The sequence below is a fragment of the Homo sapiens genome, chromosome 3 (genome assembly GCF_000001405.40).
Source record: "Homo sapiens chromosome 3, GRCh38.p14 Primary Assembly".
NCBI lineage: Eukaryota > Metazoa > Chordata > Mammalia > Primates > Hominidae > Homo > Homo sapiens.
In genome coordinates, this window is record NC_000003.12 from 48,855,530 (window position 1) to 48,869,888 (window position 14,359).

Below are 14,359 nucleotides of genomic sequence, written 5' to 3' on the forward strand. Positions count from 1 at the left end.
ACTGCAACCTCTGCCTCCCAGGTTCAAGTGATTCTCCTGCCTCAGCCTCCCGAGTAGCTGGGACTACAGGCATGCCCCACCATGCCTGGCTAATTTTTGTATTTTGAGTAGAGATGGGGTTTCACCGTGTTGGCCAGGCTGGTCTTGAACTCCTGACCTCAAGTGATCCACCCGCCTCGGCCTCCCAAAGTGCTAGGATTATAGGCGTGAGCCACTGTGCCCGGCCAAAAATGTTATTTTCTCCTCGGCCATAATTCCTATCTGGTCATTTAGAAACATATTCCAAGCTATAAAGCCTCCTTTAAAGTCCCAAGTCTTCAACTTCCTGCTGGGTTGATCACAGCCCCAACTCCCAGATAGGGGTGTGTCCCTTCCCTTCTTACCAGGTCTGATTCTGTTGCCCAGGCTGGAGTGCAGTGATGCACACTCGGCTCACTGTGGCCTCAACTTCTTGGGCTCAAGTGATCCTCCTACCTTAGCGTCCTGAGTAGCTGGGACTACAGGCACACACCACCATGTCTGACTAATTTTTTAATTTTTAAAAAATTTTGTGTACAGACAGAGTCTTACTATATTGCCCAGGCTGGTCTTGAACTCCTGGACTCAAGTGATCCTCCTTCCTTGGCTTCCCAACGTGTTGGGATTACAAGCGTGGCATGATCCAGTGCTCCCAGCTTTTTTTTTTTTTTTTTTTAACAGTTCAAAACTAGAGACAGAGTGATGGTTCTAAAGCCAAAGTCCAGGAGTCTCTATGCAGCTGCAGTGAGACAGGAAGTGCCAGTGGAACTGTAACTGTAACTGTGACCACCAGATGGGATAATGCCAGAAAAGCCCAGCTCCAGTAGCTTCAGCAAGCTCTCCCCTCCACCAGAAAGTAATAATCTAGCTTATGACTCTCCAACTCCCTCACCTTTTCTGGACACACCTGGATAGCATAATCTGCCTGATTAGTAAAGTTAAGCTAGCTACCTCAGATCGCACAGCAACTCCAAAGCCCACATGAAAACCCGAGATTGCTTTTGTCCTTTTAGAACAACTGACTCTCCATCTGTTAGCTCAGACACCCATGGTGCTCAGGGAAGAGAGGGGAATAAATGAAGGGATGGGTTGCAGGCTGGGCCTTGGGAGGGCCTGTCTGCCAGGCTTGCATTGAGGCCTGTGTGAACAATTACCAGTCGGGTCACACCACCCCACACACCCTCCCTAGAGCAGCCGGGGCTAGGGCAGTCAGAGAAGGCAGAGCCAGCCAAAACTTCCTCCTCCTCCACCTCCTCCTGCTGGATCCCCAGCCTAAGGTTCCCAGGGAAGAATACTGGATCCCTGAAAGCCTCCACCAAGGCTACAGGCTGCCTGCTGAAATGTCCCAGAATCAAAAGAAGAAAATATAACACAATGCAAAAATTAGAAACAACGTTTATTGTTTATTGTTAAAATAGTGAGCTCTCATGAGAAAAGAGTATGTAAAAAGGGCCTTCCTACACCCTGGGCTTTCTCACTTATCCCAGCAGACTGGGACTGTCCTCACTGTGTAGGAGGGAAAGTTCTCCACCTGCTCCCAGAAAATTAGGCTACTCCAGTTTTACTTTTGATTATTTGCAGGCATAAAAAAAAAAAATCAAAATCCAACGATTAACAGTCTATCTCCTCCTAGGCATATATGCTCAATCCACTTGGACACAGAGGTGGGCCTCAAGTCCATATCCACATGTACAGCCCAGGATTAGATGGCACCCTGGAAATCAAATGGGTATTCCTGGCTAGGGACTGAAGAAGATCTCAGCTCCTGGTGATCTGGTTGAAAATATGCACAGTGCCTCCAGTGAGAACCTGAGATTCTCTCTTTAATGAGGAATACTTTGACTGTGGTAGGACCAGCAGTTAACTGGTAGGCAGCATTCTTGCCACAGGTAGTATCTGGTCTGGAAGCTACTTGTTCCATTTCCAAATCCTTTTAAGATCCCTTAAATTGATAAGAATGAATTCAAGTTTCAAAATGACACACTAAGTTATACACGGTGCAGGATGTCATTAAGGCAACAGTCTCACCAAGTCCATGCACAGGGCTCGGATCTCACCATTCCCCTCCCCTTGCCCTCCAAGACTGCTTAGTTCTGCTTACTACTCCTTCTCCTCAACGACAGCTTCCAGCATCCAGAAGTGAACTTGAGCAGCCTTCAGCCTCACAAGTTGGGGGTGGCCCAATTAAGGAACTTCATGGCAACTTCAAAGCCAAGGAAACAGGCCTAAGAAGGGATTGGGAGGAAGAAAAAAGCCAGCAGGAATAACTATTCATAGACTATTCAAAGCACTATGCTTTGCTGGCCCTGTCAGGACCAGAGCCCCTCCCTAACCCCACACCCACTCCACATCAAGGATGCAAGCTCTACTCTCTCATTTTTAAGAGGAGAAGAAAATTTATATTCCACAACTGCCCACTTCTTTTTTTTTTTTTTTTGAGATGGAGTTTTGCTCTTGTCACCCAGGTTGAAGTGCAATGGTACAATCTCGGCTCACTGCAATCTCTGCCTCCCAGGTTAAAGTAATTCTCCTGCCTCAGCCTCCTGAGTAGCTGGGATTACAGGCACCCGCCACCACGCCCAGCTAATTTTTGTATTTTTAGTAGAGGCGGTGTTTCCCCATGTTGGCCAAGCTGGTCTCAAACTCCTGACCTCAGATGATCCACCTGCCTTAGCCTCCCAAAGTGCTGGGATTACAGGCACTAGCCACCATGCCTGGCCTCACAACTGCCCACTTCTAATGGCCAGGTCAGGAAATCAAAGCCCCTCACCTCAGAGATCCCCAAAGGCAAATCCTCCTGACAGCTTCAAGGAAGGGAGCAAATAAGGAATGCTCTGGCTGAAGATAGGGCTTTGGGAAAACTGAGACCCCAGTCCTATCCCAGGAACAAGCAAAAGTCAAACCACATGCACCCTGCCCTGAGCCCCAGAGGGAAAGCACAGCCCTGCCAGCTACTCACCGCATTGGCTGGGAAGGCTCGGATCATCACTGCATTGAACCCTTTGTACAAGGATGTGACTCCTTCATCCCGGATCAGCTCCCTCAGCACATCTCTGAAACCATTAGGATATTTCCCAGGAGGTGCTGTGGGGCAGAACCCAATTTTTAAGGCTTCAGGAAGGAGAAACTAGCAGTTAAGTCTTCCTGAAGGGTCAGGACTAGCACAGGGAAAGGACACCTTGCAGGTCATGTGGGACCAGTCCATAGACAACAGTTCACCTTGGGACAAATGCACAAATGCCTGAATTACTTGTGCCAAGGGAATAGAAACGAGGGAAGAAGAATGAAACAGCCCTTCTGTTCATGTGGGGGAGGAAGAGTGGACTTGACTTCTTATCACACTTACCTTGTGTTTAGGCTGTCATGAAAATGAATCTAGGGTTCCTAGAATGCAAATGACTGTGAGGGAGAATATTGGTCAGGCAGATGCTAGGTGCTGCCATGGAGAGTGAGTATCCCTAGGGCCTTATGAGCTTTGCACCCCAGGATTAGCCAGTGCTGGGGACCCACTCTCCCCCTGTCCACCCCACTACCTTCCACTCACCAGTCTGGAATCGAGACTTGAGCACATCTGGGGGGATTGCCACAGCCCAGTTGAAGATCCCTGCAATGCCCCCAGCCACCAAGATCCGAGGGGCACTGAGCTCACTGACCCTGTATAACACCAACCACAGCCCCAGTTAGACAAAGGCTGTGAGAGTGGCATTCAGACTATCCTGCCTGTGGCAGACAGGGCAGTTACAGACAGGCAGAAACTGGTTGGAGGGAGGAGGTATAAGGCCAGTGCTGCTGGCACTCCTTGGAGAAGGTTTCATGCACCTGTTTCAAATATTTGCTCCACTGGCTGAGGCACAGAGTAAGAAGAGCTAGCTGGACCTCAGCAGCCACAAGAGGAAAGCAGACATGGAGCCAGGAACAACAACTACTTCTGCTTTCAGATTCACCCACAGGAGAGGGCAACGCACCCATGACTGGGGAAAGTGGCTTCCAAGTTATGTTTTCCTCACCTCTTTCCCTCCGGAGTGAAGATATTTTTCAGCCATTCATATGTCATGAAATACATTCCACTAGCTGGGACATCTGTTAGTGGCAAGAAAAAGGTGAATTAAAGTACATAAACTCTTCGCCAGGCATGGTGGTACACACCTGTAATCTCAGCAATTTAGGAGATTGAGGCAGGGGGATTGCTTGAGGCCAGGAGGTCCGCGCTTGGCCTGAATTATTAGTAAAATTGTTTTTTAATTGGGTGACCAGATTTGGTTCAATTTATTTGCTTTCTAAACATTAGCGTATGGTAGTAATTTATGTAGACTAAAAAAGCATTAAAAAGAAAAAAATGCCAGGCATGGTAGCTCATAACTGTAATCCGAGCACTTTGGGAGGCTGAGGCAGGCACATCACCTGAGGCCAGGAATTCGAGACCAGTCTGGCCAATATGGCGAAAGCCTCGTCTCTACTAAAAATATAAAAATGGGCCGGGCATAGTGGCTCATGCCTTTAATCCCAGCACTTCGGGAGGCCGAGGCGGGCGGATCACAAGGTCAGGAGTTTGAGACCAGCCTGACCAACATGGTGAAACCCCGTCTCTACTAAAAATATAAAAATTAGCCAGGCGTGGTGGCGGGCACCTGTAATCCCAGCTACTCAGGAGGCTGAGGCAAGAGAATGGCTTGAACCCGGGAGGTGGAGGTTGCAGTGAGCTGAGACTGCGCCACTGCACTCCAGCCTGGCTGACAGAGTGAGACTCCATCTCAAAAAAAAAAAAAAATACAAAAATACAAAAATGGCCAAGCGTGGTGGCTCACACCTGTAATCCCAGCACTTTGGGAGTCCGAGGTGGGCGGATCACGAGGTCAAGAGATTGAGACTATCCTGGCCAACATGGTGAAACCCTGTCTCTACCAAAAATTAGCCGGGCATGGTGGTGCATGCCTGTAGTCCCAGCTACTCAGGAGACTGAGGCAGGAGAATCGCTTGAATCCAGGAGGTGGAGGTTGCAGTAAGCTGAGATCGAGTCACTGCACTCCAGCCTGGTGACAGAGCAAGACTCCATCTCAAAAAAAAATAATAATAATACAAAAAATACAAAAATTAGCCCGGCCTGGTGGCACATGCCTGTAATCCCAGCTATTCAGGAGGCTGAGGCACAGGAATCACTCGAACCCAGAAGGTGGAGGTTGCAGTAAGCCAAGATCACACTAATGCACTCCTGGCTGGGCAACAGAGCAAGACTCTGTCTCAAAAAAAAAAGAAAAAGAATATAGTATTATTATTATTATTACTTTACTTTTTTTTTTTTTTTTTGAGACGGAGTCTCGCTCTCTCGCCCAGGCTGGAGTGCAATGGTGCAATCTCGGCTCACTGCAACCTCTGCCTCCTGGGTTCAAGCAATTCTCCTGCCTCAGCCTCCTGAGTAGCTGGGATGCATGCGCCACCACGCCCGGCTAATTTTTGTATTTTTAGTAGAGATGGGGTTTCACCATATTGGTCAGGCTGGTCTTGAACTCCTGACCTCGTGATCCGCCCGCCTCGGCCTCCCAAAGTGCTGGGATTACAGGGGTGAGCCACCACGCCCAGCTATTATTATTTTAATAGAGACAGGGTATCACTATTTTACCCAGGCTGGTCTCAAACTCCTGGGCTCAAGTGATCCTCTCAACTCAGCCTCCCAAAGTGCTGAGATTACAAGTGTGAGCCACCATACCCGGCCCCCACAGATTTCTTGAATGTAGAAAAGCCAAGCTTGGCACTAGACCCTTCAGGGATTCTTGAGAAGTTCCTTAGCAGCCACATCCTATTTGCAACAATCACTTTGCAGCTATGGGATGCTGCTCTGGGCCAAGCACTGGTGTAAGTGAGTACAAACACACATGATATAATTTCATTAAAGTTCCCTCAGCTGGGCTTAGTGGCTCACGCCTATAATCCTAGCACTTTGGGAGACCAAGGCAGGTGGATCATCTGAGGTCAGGAGTTCGAGACCAGCCTGGCCAACATAGTGAAACCCTATCTCTGCTAAAAGTACAAAAATTAGCCAGGCATGGTGGCACACACCTGTAACCCCAGCTACTCAGGAGGCTGAGGCAGGAGAGTCACTTGAACCCAGGAAGTGGAGGTTGCAGTGAGCTGAGAATGCACCACTGCATTCCAGCCTGGGTGACAGAGCAAGACTCTGTCTCAAAAAATAATAATAATAAGGCCGGGTGCGGTGGCTCACACCAGTAATCCCGGCACCTTGGGAGGCCGAGGCAGGTGCATCACCTGAGGTCAGGAGTTTGAGACCAGCCCGGCCAACATGGTGAAACCCCATCTCTACTAAAAATACAAAAAAATAGCCAGACATGGTGGCATGTGCTTGTAATCCCAGCTACTTGGGAGGCTGAGGGAGGAGAATTGCTTGAACCTGGGAGGCAGAGGTTGCAGTAAGCCAAGACTGTGCCATTGCACTCCAGCCTGGGCAACAGGAGTGAAACTCCATCTCAAAAAATAAAATAAAAATAAGTAAAAAAATAAATAAGGTTTTCTCTCAGTGTGAAAGTCCATGTGGGCAAGTGACATGCCCACAGTTATAAGCACAGTTGTTGTATCTGGCCTTCCTCTAAGCTGCCAGCTCAGGACAAGAGTGAGACTGTCTCTGCCTTTCCTACTGCCACTATAACAGGACATACTTCTCAAAACCAGGGAGATCACCACTGTCCCCAAGTCACACTTTCTTCCCACTCCTCCCTCCAGAGATGATTTCTATCTACTTGCCACTCCCCTCCAACTGTGATGCCATGACTTCTACCCCTGCAGACACCTGGGAAAGATGGAAGGTCCCCTCATCCTAATCTACGTCCATGCTGGCCAGGGGGAGATGCTTACTGCCAGTATTGTCAGAGATGTGACATGCATGGTGCCAAGGCTAATCTGGCAATCCAGGCAAGACCTTCTGCAGCAGACCCACCTCAGGTGACCTCCCCAGGTGACCTCAAGTGGAGGCCTGAAAGGTTACCTCGCATAAGGGTAAGCACAGTCCCTTTGTAGATGCCTCGGATCCCAAACTCCTGGTACAGCTTCTTTGCACAGTCCAAGGTACCAGTGTACTTGCTTTCTCCTGAAGAAGCCTGAATCTGGGAGGGAGGAGAGGATCATTAAGTCAGAAACATCAGAGTCACAGACCCAGCAGGTTACAGGAGACTACAAAGTAAGTATGGCCATTATGTGTTACAGCAATAAAAGACTTCACTGTCAAATTGATAAGTATCTGGAATGTGTGATCTTGGGGCAGGTACTATGAAATAAGGCTAGGTGAAAATATCAGAAAACATTCACATTGACTAGAAATAAAACCAACAGAAAATTTGAAAAACAAGTTGAGGAGGCCGGGTGCAGTGGCTCATGCCTATAATCCCAGCACTTTGGGAGGCCGAGGCAGGCAGGTCGCCTGAGGTCAGGAGTTTGAAACCAGCCTGGTCAACACGGTGAAACCCTGTCTCTACGAAAAATACAAAAATTAGCTGGGCATGGTGGTGGGCGCCTGTAGTCAGCTGCTCAGGAGGCTGAGGCAGGAGAATCGCCTGAACTTGGGAGGCAGAGGTTGCAGTTAGAAAACATATCGTACCACACTGCACTCCAGCCTGGGCAGCAGAGTGAGACTGTCTCAAAATTTAAAAATAAAAAATAAGTTGAGGAAATCTGTCAAACACAATAAAGCTATTTGGAAGGTCTAAAAAGGAAGCGACAAATACTTTAGTCATTCATTTATTCCTTCAACAAATATCCCCTGAAGACCAACTGCATTCCAAGCCTACCTGGTCATGAGAGTTGGTTAAGAAAAGGTGAACAGAAAATTTCACTCAAAGCTCTAAGTTCCCAGACAGGGGTCCTGTTCAGAGAGGGCTCCTATGCAGAGCCAGAGGAGGGCCAAAGAGAGGCTCCTACCCCGCCCCTGAGAGCCAAGAACCTGGGGGTAGGCAGGGGTAATCCCAGGAAAGATCTGAAAGACAGCTCCATGCAGGATCCACACAGGGATCCCGCTTGTTCAGGACCAAGAGGAGTCAGAACACACAAGAGCATCAACCAAACAATAATTAAAGCTGGAAAGGGAGTTCAGCTTTAACAGTTCCAAAGAGAAACACTTACAAATACATAAACCAAATAGCTTTCTTACATATCAGGATTAACCAGTTAAAAAATAATAGAAAAGGCCGGGCACGGTGGCTCACACCTGTAATCCCAGCACTTTGGGAGGCTGAGGCGGGCAGATCATGAGGTCAGGAGTTTGAGACCAGCCTGACCAACATGGTGAAACCCTGTCTCTACTAAAAATACAAAAATTAGCCAGGCGTGGTGGTACATGCCTGTAATCTCAGCTACTCAGGAGGCTGAGGCAGGAGAATCGCTTGAACCCAGGAGGTGGAGTTTGCAGTGAGCCGAGATCGTGCCACTGCACACCAGCCTGGGAGACAGAGCACAACTCTATCTCAATCAATCAATCAATACAAGAAATGGATCCCATTCAAAATAGCAATAAAAGCCGGGCACGGTGGCTCACGCCTGTAATCCCAGCACTTTGGGAGGCCAAGGCAGGCAGATCACCTGAGGCCAGGAGTTCGAGACCAGCCTGGCCAACATGGTGAGAGCCCCCATCTCTACTAAAAATACAAAACTTAGCTGGGCGTGGTGGCAGATGCCTGTAATCCCAGCTACTCAGGAGGCTGAGGCAGGAAAATGACTTGAACCTGGGAGGCGGAAGTTGTAGTGAGCCGAGATTGCACCACTGCACTCCAGCCTGGGTGACAGAGTAAGACTCTGTCTCAAAAAAAAAAAAAAAAAAAAAAAAAAAAAGCAACAAATATGTGAATTAAGCAATAGGCTTTGTATAAATAAAACTCTAAAATATCTGAGGATTACAAAATAAGAGGTCAATAAAAAGAGTCCTAATTCTAGTTGGGAAAAGTTTTCAATAAGAAAGATTTCTATTTTTCTAAAAATAATAAATGTAAGATAATGTCAATTGAGTATCAATGGTTTTTTTTTTTTTTGGTATAACTTCCCCAAAGTATCCAGACATATGTACCTGGTATGTCTGAGGAACAGAAGGAAGGTCATGTTATCTGAGAATGCTGGAGCCAATTCACAGTGACCTGGGGGGCCGTGGAGGATTGGGCATAGGAATAACATATTTACAGAATCCTATCATTGTTATGTATGTACAGACTATAAGAAGGGAAACAAGTAAGGAGGCCCTCACTGTCATCCAGGACAGCGATGAAGGTGGCCTGAAGTAGTATGGCCACAATGGAGATGGTGTGAAGGGATGGATTTGGGATAATGTTGAAAGCCAGCCTAATTGCTCAACAGATGGAATCTAAACCGTGGGAGAAAAAGAGGAATTTAAGAGGACTCCTGGGCTATAATCCTGAATAATTACAAGGATGCTATTGTTACCAACTGAACTGGAAAATGCTGAGAGTAGAGGAGGTACAGGGAAGACCAGGAGCTCAGTTTTGTACATGATGACTTTGAGGCACCTATTAGCATCCACATAGAAATGTTGGATAAACTAGTCTGGAGTTCAGGAAAAGTCTGAGTTGGAGATATAATTTTTTTTTTTTGAGACGGAGTCTTGCTCTGTCACCAGGCTGGGGTGCAGTAGTGCAATCTCAGCTCACTGCAACCTCCGCCTCCTGGGTTCAAGTGATTCTCCTGCCTCAGCCTCCCAAGTAGCTGGGACTACAGGCACGTGCCACCACACCTAGCTAATTTTTGTATTTTTAGTAGAGATGGGGTTTCACCATGTTGGCCAGGATGGTCTCGATCTCTTGACCTCGTGATCCATCCGCCTCGGCCACCCAAAGTGCTGGGATTACAGGCGTGAGCCACAGCGCCCACAGAGATATAAATTTGAGTCATCAGCATAAAAATGGTGTCTAAAAGTCATGAGACAAGGCTGGGTGCGGTGACTTACTCCTGTAATCTCAGCACTCTGGGAGGCTGAAGTGGCCAGATCACTTGAGGCCAGAGTTCCAGACCAGCCTGGTCAACATGGTGAAACCCTGTTTCTAAAAAAAAAAAAAAAAAAAAAGTCCCCCAAAATTAGCTGGGTGTGTGCCTGTAGTCCCAGCTACTTGGGAGGCTGAGGCACAAGAATCACTTGAACCCAGGAGGCCTGGGTTGCAGTGAGCTGATATCGCGCCACCGCACTCCAGCCTGGGAGACAAAGCGAGACTCTGTCTCAAACAAAAAAAAAAAAAAGAAAAGAAAAGAAAGATAAGTACTGAGAACTAACCACTGAAGTGTAAAAGTCACTAGTGACCAGCTGGGCATGGTGGCTCACGCCTGTAATCCCAGCACTTTGGGAGGCCGAGGCAGGTGGATCACGAGGTCAGGAGATGGAGACCATCCTGGCCAACATGGTGAAACCCCGTCTCTACTAAAAATACAAAAAAAAAATTAGCTGGGCCTGGTAGCGTGTGCCTGTAATCCCAGCTACTCGGGAGGCTGAGGCAGGAAAATTGCTTGAACCAGGGAGTCGGAGGTTGCAGTGAGCTGAGATCATGCCACTGCACTCCAGCCTGGCGACAGAGCGAGACTCTGTCTCAAAAAAAGGAAAAAAAAAAGTCACTAGTGACCTTGATAAAACCACTTTATTTGCAGTTGTGAGGCAAAAGCCAGATTGGAGCAGGTTTAACAATTAGAGGAGAGGAACTGGAAATGGCAGGTATAAAAAAACCAGAAACAGGCTGGTGTGGCAGCTCACGTCTGTAATCCCAGCACTTTGGGAGGCCAAGGTGGGTGGATCACCTTAGGTCAAGAGTTCAAGACCAGCCTGGCCAACAAGGCAAAACCCCATCTCTACTAAAAGTACAAAAATTAGCAGGGCGTGGTGGTGTGCACCTGTATTCCCAGCTACTCGGGAGGCTGAGGCAGGAGAATTGCTGGAACCTGGGAAGCAGAGGTTGCAGTGAGCCGAGATTATGCCACTGCATTCCAGCCTGGGTGACAGAACAAGACTCCATCTCAAAAAAAAAACAAAAAACAAAAACAAAAACAAGAAACAACTTTTTCAAAGAGTTTTTGTGTAAGAGGGAGCAAAGTCATGAAGCATAGAAATTGGTGTGGAAAAGACTGGACAGAAGTTTTTTTGAGACAGGTTCCCGATGATCTCTGCTCACTGCAGGCTCAACTTCCTGTGCTCAAACGATCCTCCCACCTCAGACTCCTGAATAGCTAGGGCTACAGGTGCATGCCACCACACCTATTTTTTTTTTCTTTTTTTGAGACGGAGTTGTAATCTTCTAGCCCAGACTGGAGTGCAATGGCGCGATCTCGACTCACGGCAACCTCTGCCTCCCAGGTTCAAGCAATTCTCCTGTCTCAGACTCCCGAGTAGCTGGGATTACAGGCACCTGCCACCATGCCTGGCTAATTTCTTGTATTTTTAGTAGAGATGGGGTTTCATCATTTTGGCCAGGCTGGTCTTGAACTCCTGACCTCAGATGATTCACCCGCCTCGGCCACCCAAAGTGCTGGGATTACAGGTGTGAGCCACCGCGCCTGGCCCATGAATGGCTAATTTTTGTATTTTTTTGTAGAGATGGGGTTTTGCCATGTTGCCCAGGCTGGTCTCAAACTCCTGGGCTTGGGTGATCCATATACCTCAGCTTCCAAAAGTGCTGAGATTATAGGTGTGAGCCACTGTGCCCAAAGTTTGTTTTTGTTTTCTTTTTTGAGATGGAGTTTCGCTCTTGTTGCCCAGGCTGGAGTGCAGTGGCGAGATCTCGGTTCACCACAACCTCTGCCTCCCGGATTCAAGTGATTCTCCTGCCTCAGCCTCCCAAGTAGCTGGGATTACAGGATGCGCCACCATGCCTGGGTAATTTTTTTTTTTTTTTGTATTTTTAGTAGAGATGGGGTTTCTCCATATTGGTCTGGCTGGTCTTGAACTCCTAACCTCAGGTGATCCACTCACCATGGCCTCCCAAAGTCCTGGGATTACAGGCGTGAGCCACCGCACCCAGCCCAAAGTTTGTATTTTTAAGATGAAAAATGCAAGCATGTTTATGCCTTTATTCCTGATGAGAATGATCAAGTGGAGAGCAAAAACTGATGTCAGTGGCTGAGGGAAAAAAAAAAAACAAAAACAAATAATGTCTGTGGCTGGGCAAGAGGAGATGGGATCCAGTGCACAAAGAGGCCTGGGATCAAGCGGAAGCACAGGCCATCCTTGGTAGAAACAAGCAGGGTGGCCGGGCATGGTGGCTCATGCCTGTAATCCCAACACTTTGGGAGACCGAGGCAGGCGGACCACCTGAGGTCAGGAGTTCGAGACCAGCCTGACCAACATGGAGAAACCCCGTCTCTACTAAAAATACAAAAATTAGCCAGGCGTGGAGGTGCATGCCTGTAATCCCGGCTACTCGGGAGGCTGCGGCAGGAGAATTACTTGAACCTGGGAGGCGGAGGTTGCGGTGAGCCGAGATGGCGCCACTGCACTCCAGCCTAGGCAACAAGAGCAAAAACTCCATCTAAAAAAAAAAAGAAAAGAAAAGAAACAAGCAGGGCGGCAGCAGGTAGGTACATGGAGGTAGCAGAAGGCATCTGGTGAAATCCTCTTCTGATGGTTTCCATTTTCTCAGTGAAGTCAGAAACCAGCTCATCCACTGAGAAGGTGGGGGGTTGAGAAGAGGAGAGGTACGAAGCGGTCACACAGCAGAGTAGGAGGGTGTAAGAAAAGAGTAGGACTAAGTGAATGTCTGATGTAGGAGTAGAAAAGGACTTCAGGCATAGACAAAATGGAAGAAGCCATAAGGGAAAAGAGCGATGGACAAAGCCACTGAACACAAACATTCCCTAGGTCAAAATCAATAGATAGACTTCTACTTCTGGGAAGATGGAGTAGATGTACTTTTCCCTATTCCTCCTGCTAACTACAACCAAAAAACTCTGGATGTTATATTTAAAATAAACATATGAAGGGTCTGAAAGTTTGGACCAACGGCAGCAGAGAAACCTTGGGACCTGAGGAATGAGATAGTGGTGAGTTCCTTGGGTTTTCCTTTTACCCTGCATATGTCAGCTGAAAAAGCTGACAATCCAAAAATATCAAAAGGTACAAACCAAAAAGAAGCCCCAACAAAAGCATGCATTCTCTACAAAAAGGACCAGGAAAGGTCCTCTACTCCAGCCAAACACCATTTAAAAAGCTGTGGCCCCCACCCACACCAGCAAAGACTTAGTGGGAAGCATAGACTTTCACCTTTATGGAGTTGTAATGAAGTACCCAACATGTTACCAGCGTGGAGTCAGAGAAAGCCAAGTAAGAAATTAGGGGAAGGGCTGCAGCCAAGGCCTTGTGCAGCCCTGCACCCTTCTGTTTAAAAATAAATTAAATTTTAAAAAAAGGAATTAGGACTTGCATCCCTGACAGCTGGTACCAGCACCTTGCCACCCTAGAGTGCTAGTGGACACACTGGAACTCCCACACTTACTTAGCAATAAAAATGAGCACCCCATCGTCAGGTGTCAACAGAGGCCAAATAGGAACCTTGATTTCTACCTCCACCTAGCTGTAATGAGGCTGCATCCTTCCCTTCCTGCTGGAGCAGTATCAGAAAAACCCTCAACTCAATATGTAAATATCCAGGTTGCAATTGAAAAATCACTTGTCATATTCAAAACAAGGAAGACCTCAAACTGAAAGAAAAAAAGACTAGCAATATTTGCCAACACCAAGATGTCAGAGACATTAGAATTATCTGACAAAGATTTTAAAGCAGCCATGATAAAAATCCTTCAATGAGCAATTATGAACATGCTTGAAAAAAATTTTTTGGCTGGGCACGGTGGCTCACACCTGTACTCCCAGCACTTTGGGAGGCGAAGGCAGCTGGATCACGAGGTCAGGAGATTGAGGTGACCAACCTCAGGTGATATGCCCACCTCAGCCTCCCAAAGTGGGATTACAGGCATGAGCCACTGTGCCCGGCCGAAAAACCTTTTTTTTAAATAGGCCAGGTACAGTGGCTCATGGCTATAATCCTAGCGTTCTGGGAGGTCAAGGTGGGAGGATCACTTGATCCCAGGAGTTGGAGATCAGCGAGGGCAATTAAGCAAGACCCCATTTCTACAAAAAGTTAGCCAGGCCGGGTGACACCTGTAGTCCCAGCTAATAGGAGGCTGAGGCAGGAAGATCATTTGAACCCCAGAGTTTCAGGATGCAGTAAGCCGTTATCAGACCACTACACTCCAGCCATGCAGCAGGGTGAGACTCTGTCTCTAGAAAAAAGAGAAAGAAGAAAAGAAGCCAGGCATGGTGGCTCATACCTGTAATTCTAGCACTTGGGGAGGCCAAGGT

General features: G+C 47.6%; 1 protein-coding gene across 1 annotated transcript in view; it reads right to left on the reverse strand.

Moving 5' to 3' along the window:
* Positions 1,397-14,359, reverse strand: part of SLC25A20 (solute carrier family 25 member 20) — a 41,957-nt gene continuing 28,994 nt past the window's right edge. The window contains exons 5-9 of the mRNA NM_000387.6: positions 7,013-7,130; positions 4,026-4,098; positions 3,563-3,672; positions 2,978-3,102; positions 1,397-2,243 (exon numbers count right to left, since the gene is read on the reverse strand). Of these exons, the coding sequence (NP_000378.1) occupies positions 2,181-2,243; positions 2,978-3,102; positions 3,563-3,672; positions 4,026-4,098; positions 7,013-7,130 (489 nt within the window). The 3' untranslated portion in view covers positions 1,397-2,180. The remainder of the gene's footprint in view (positions 2,244-2,977; positions 3,103-3,562; positions 3,673-4,025; positions 4,099-7,012; positions 7,131-14,359) is intronic.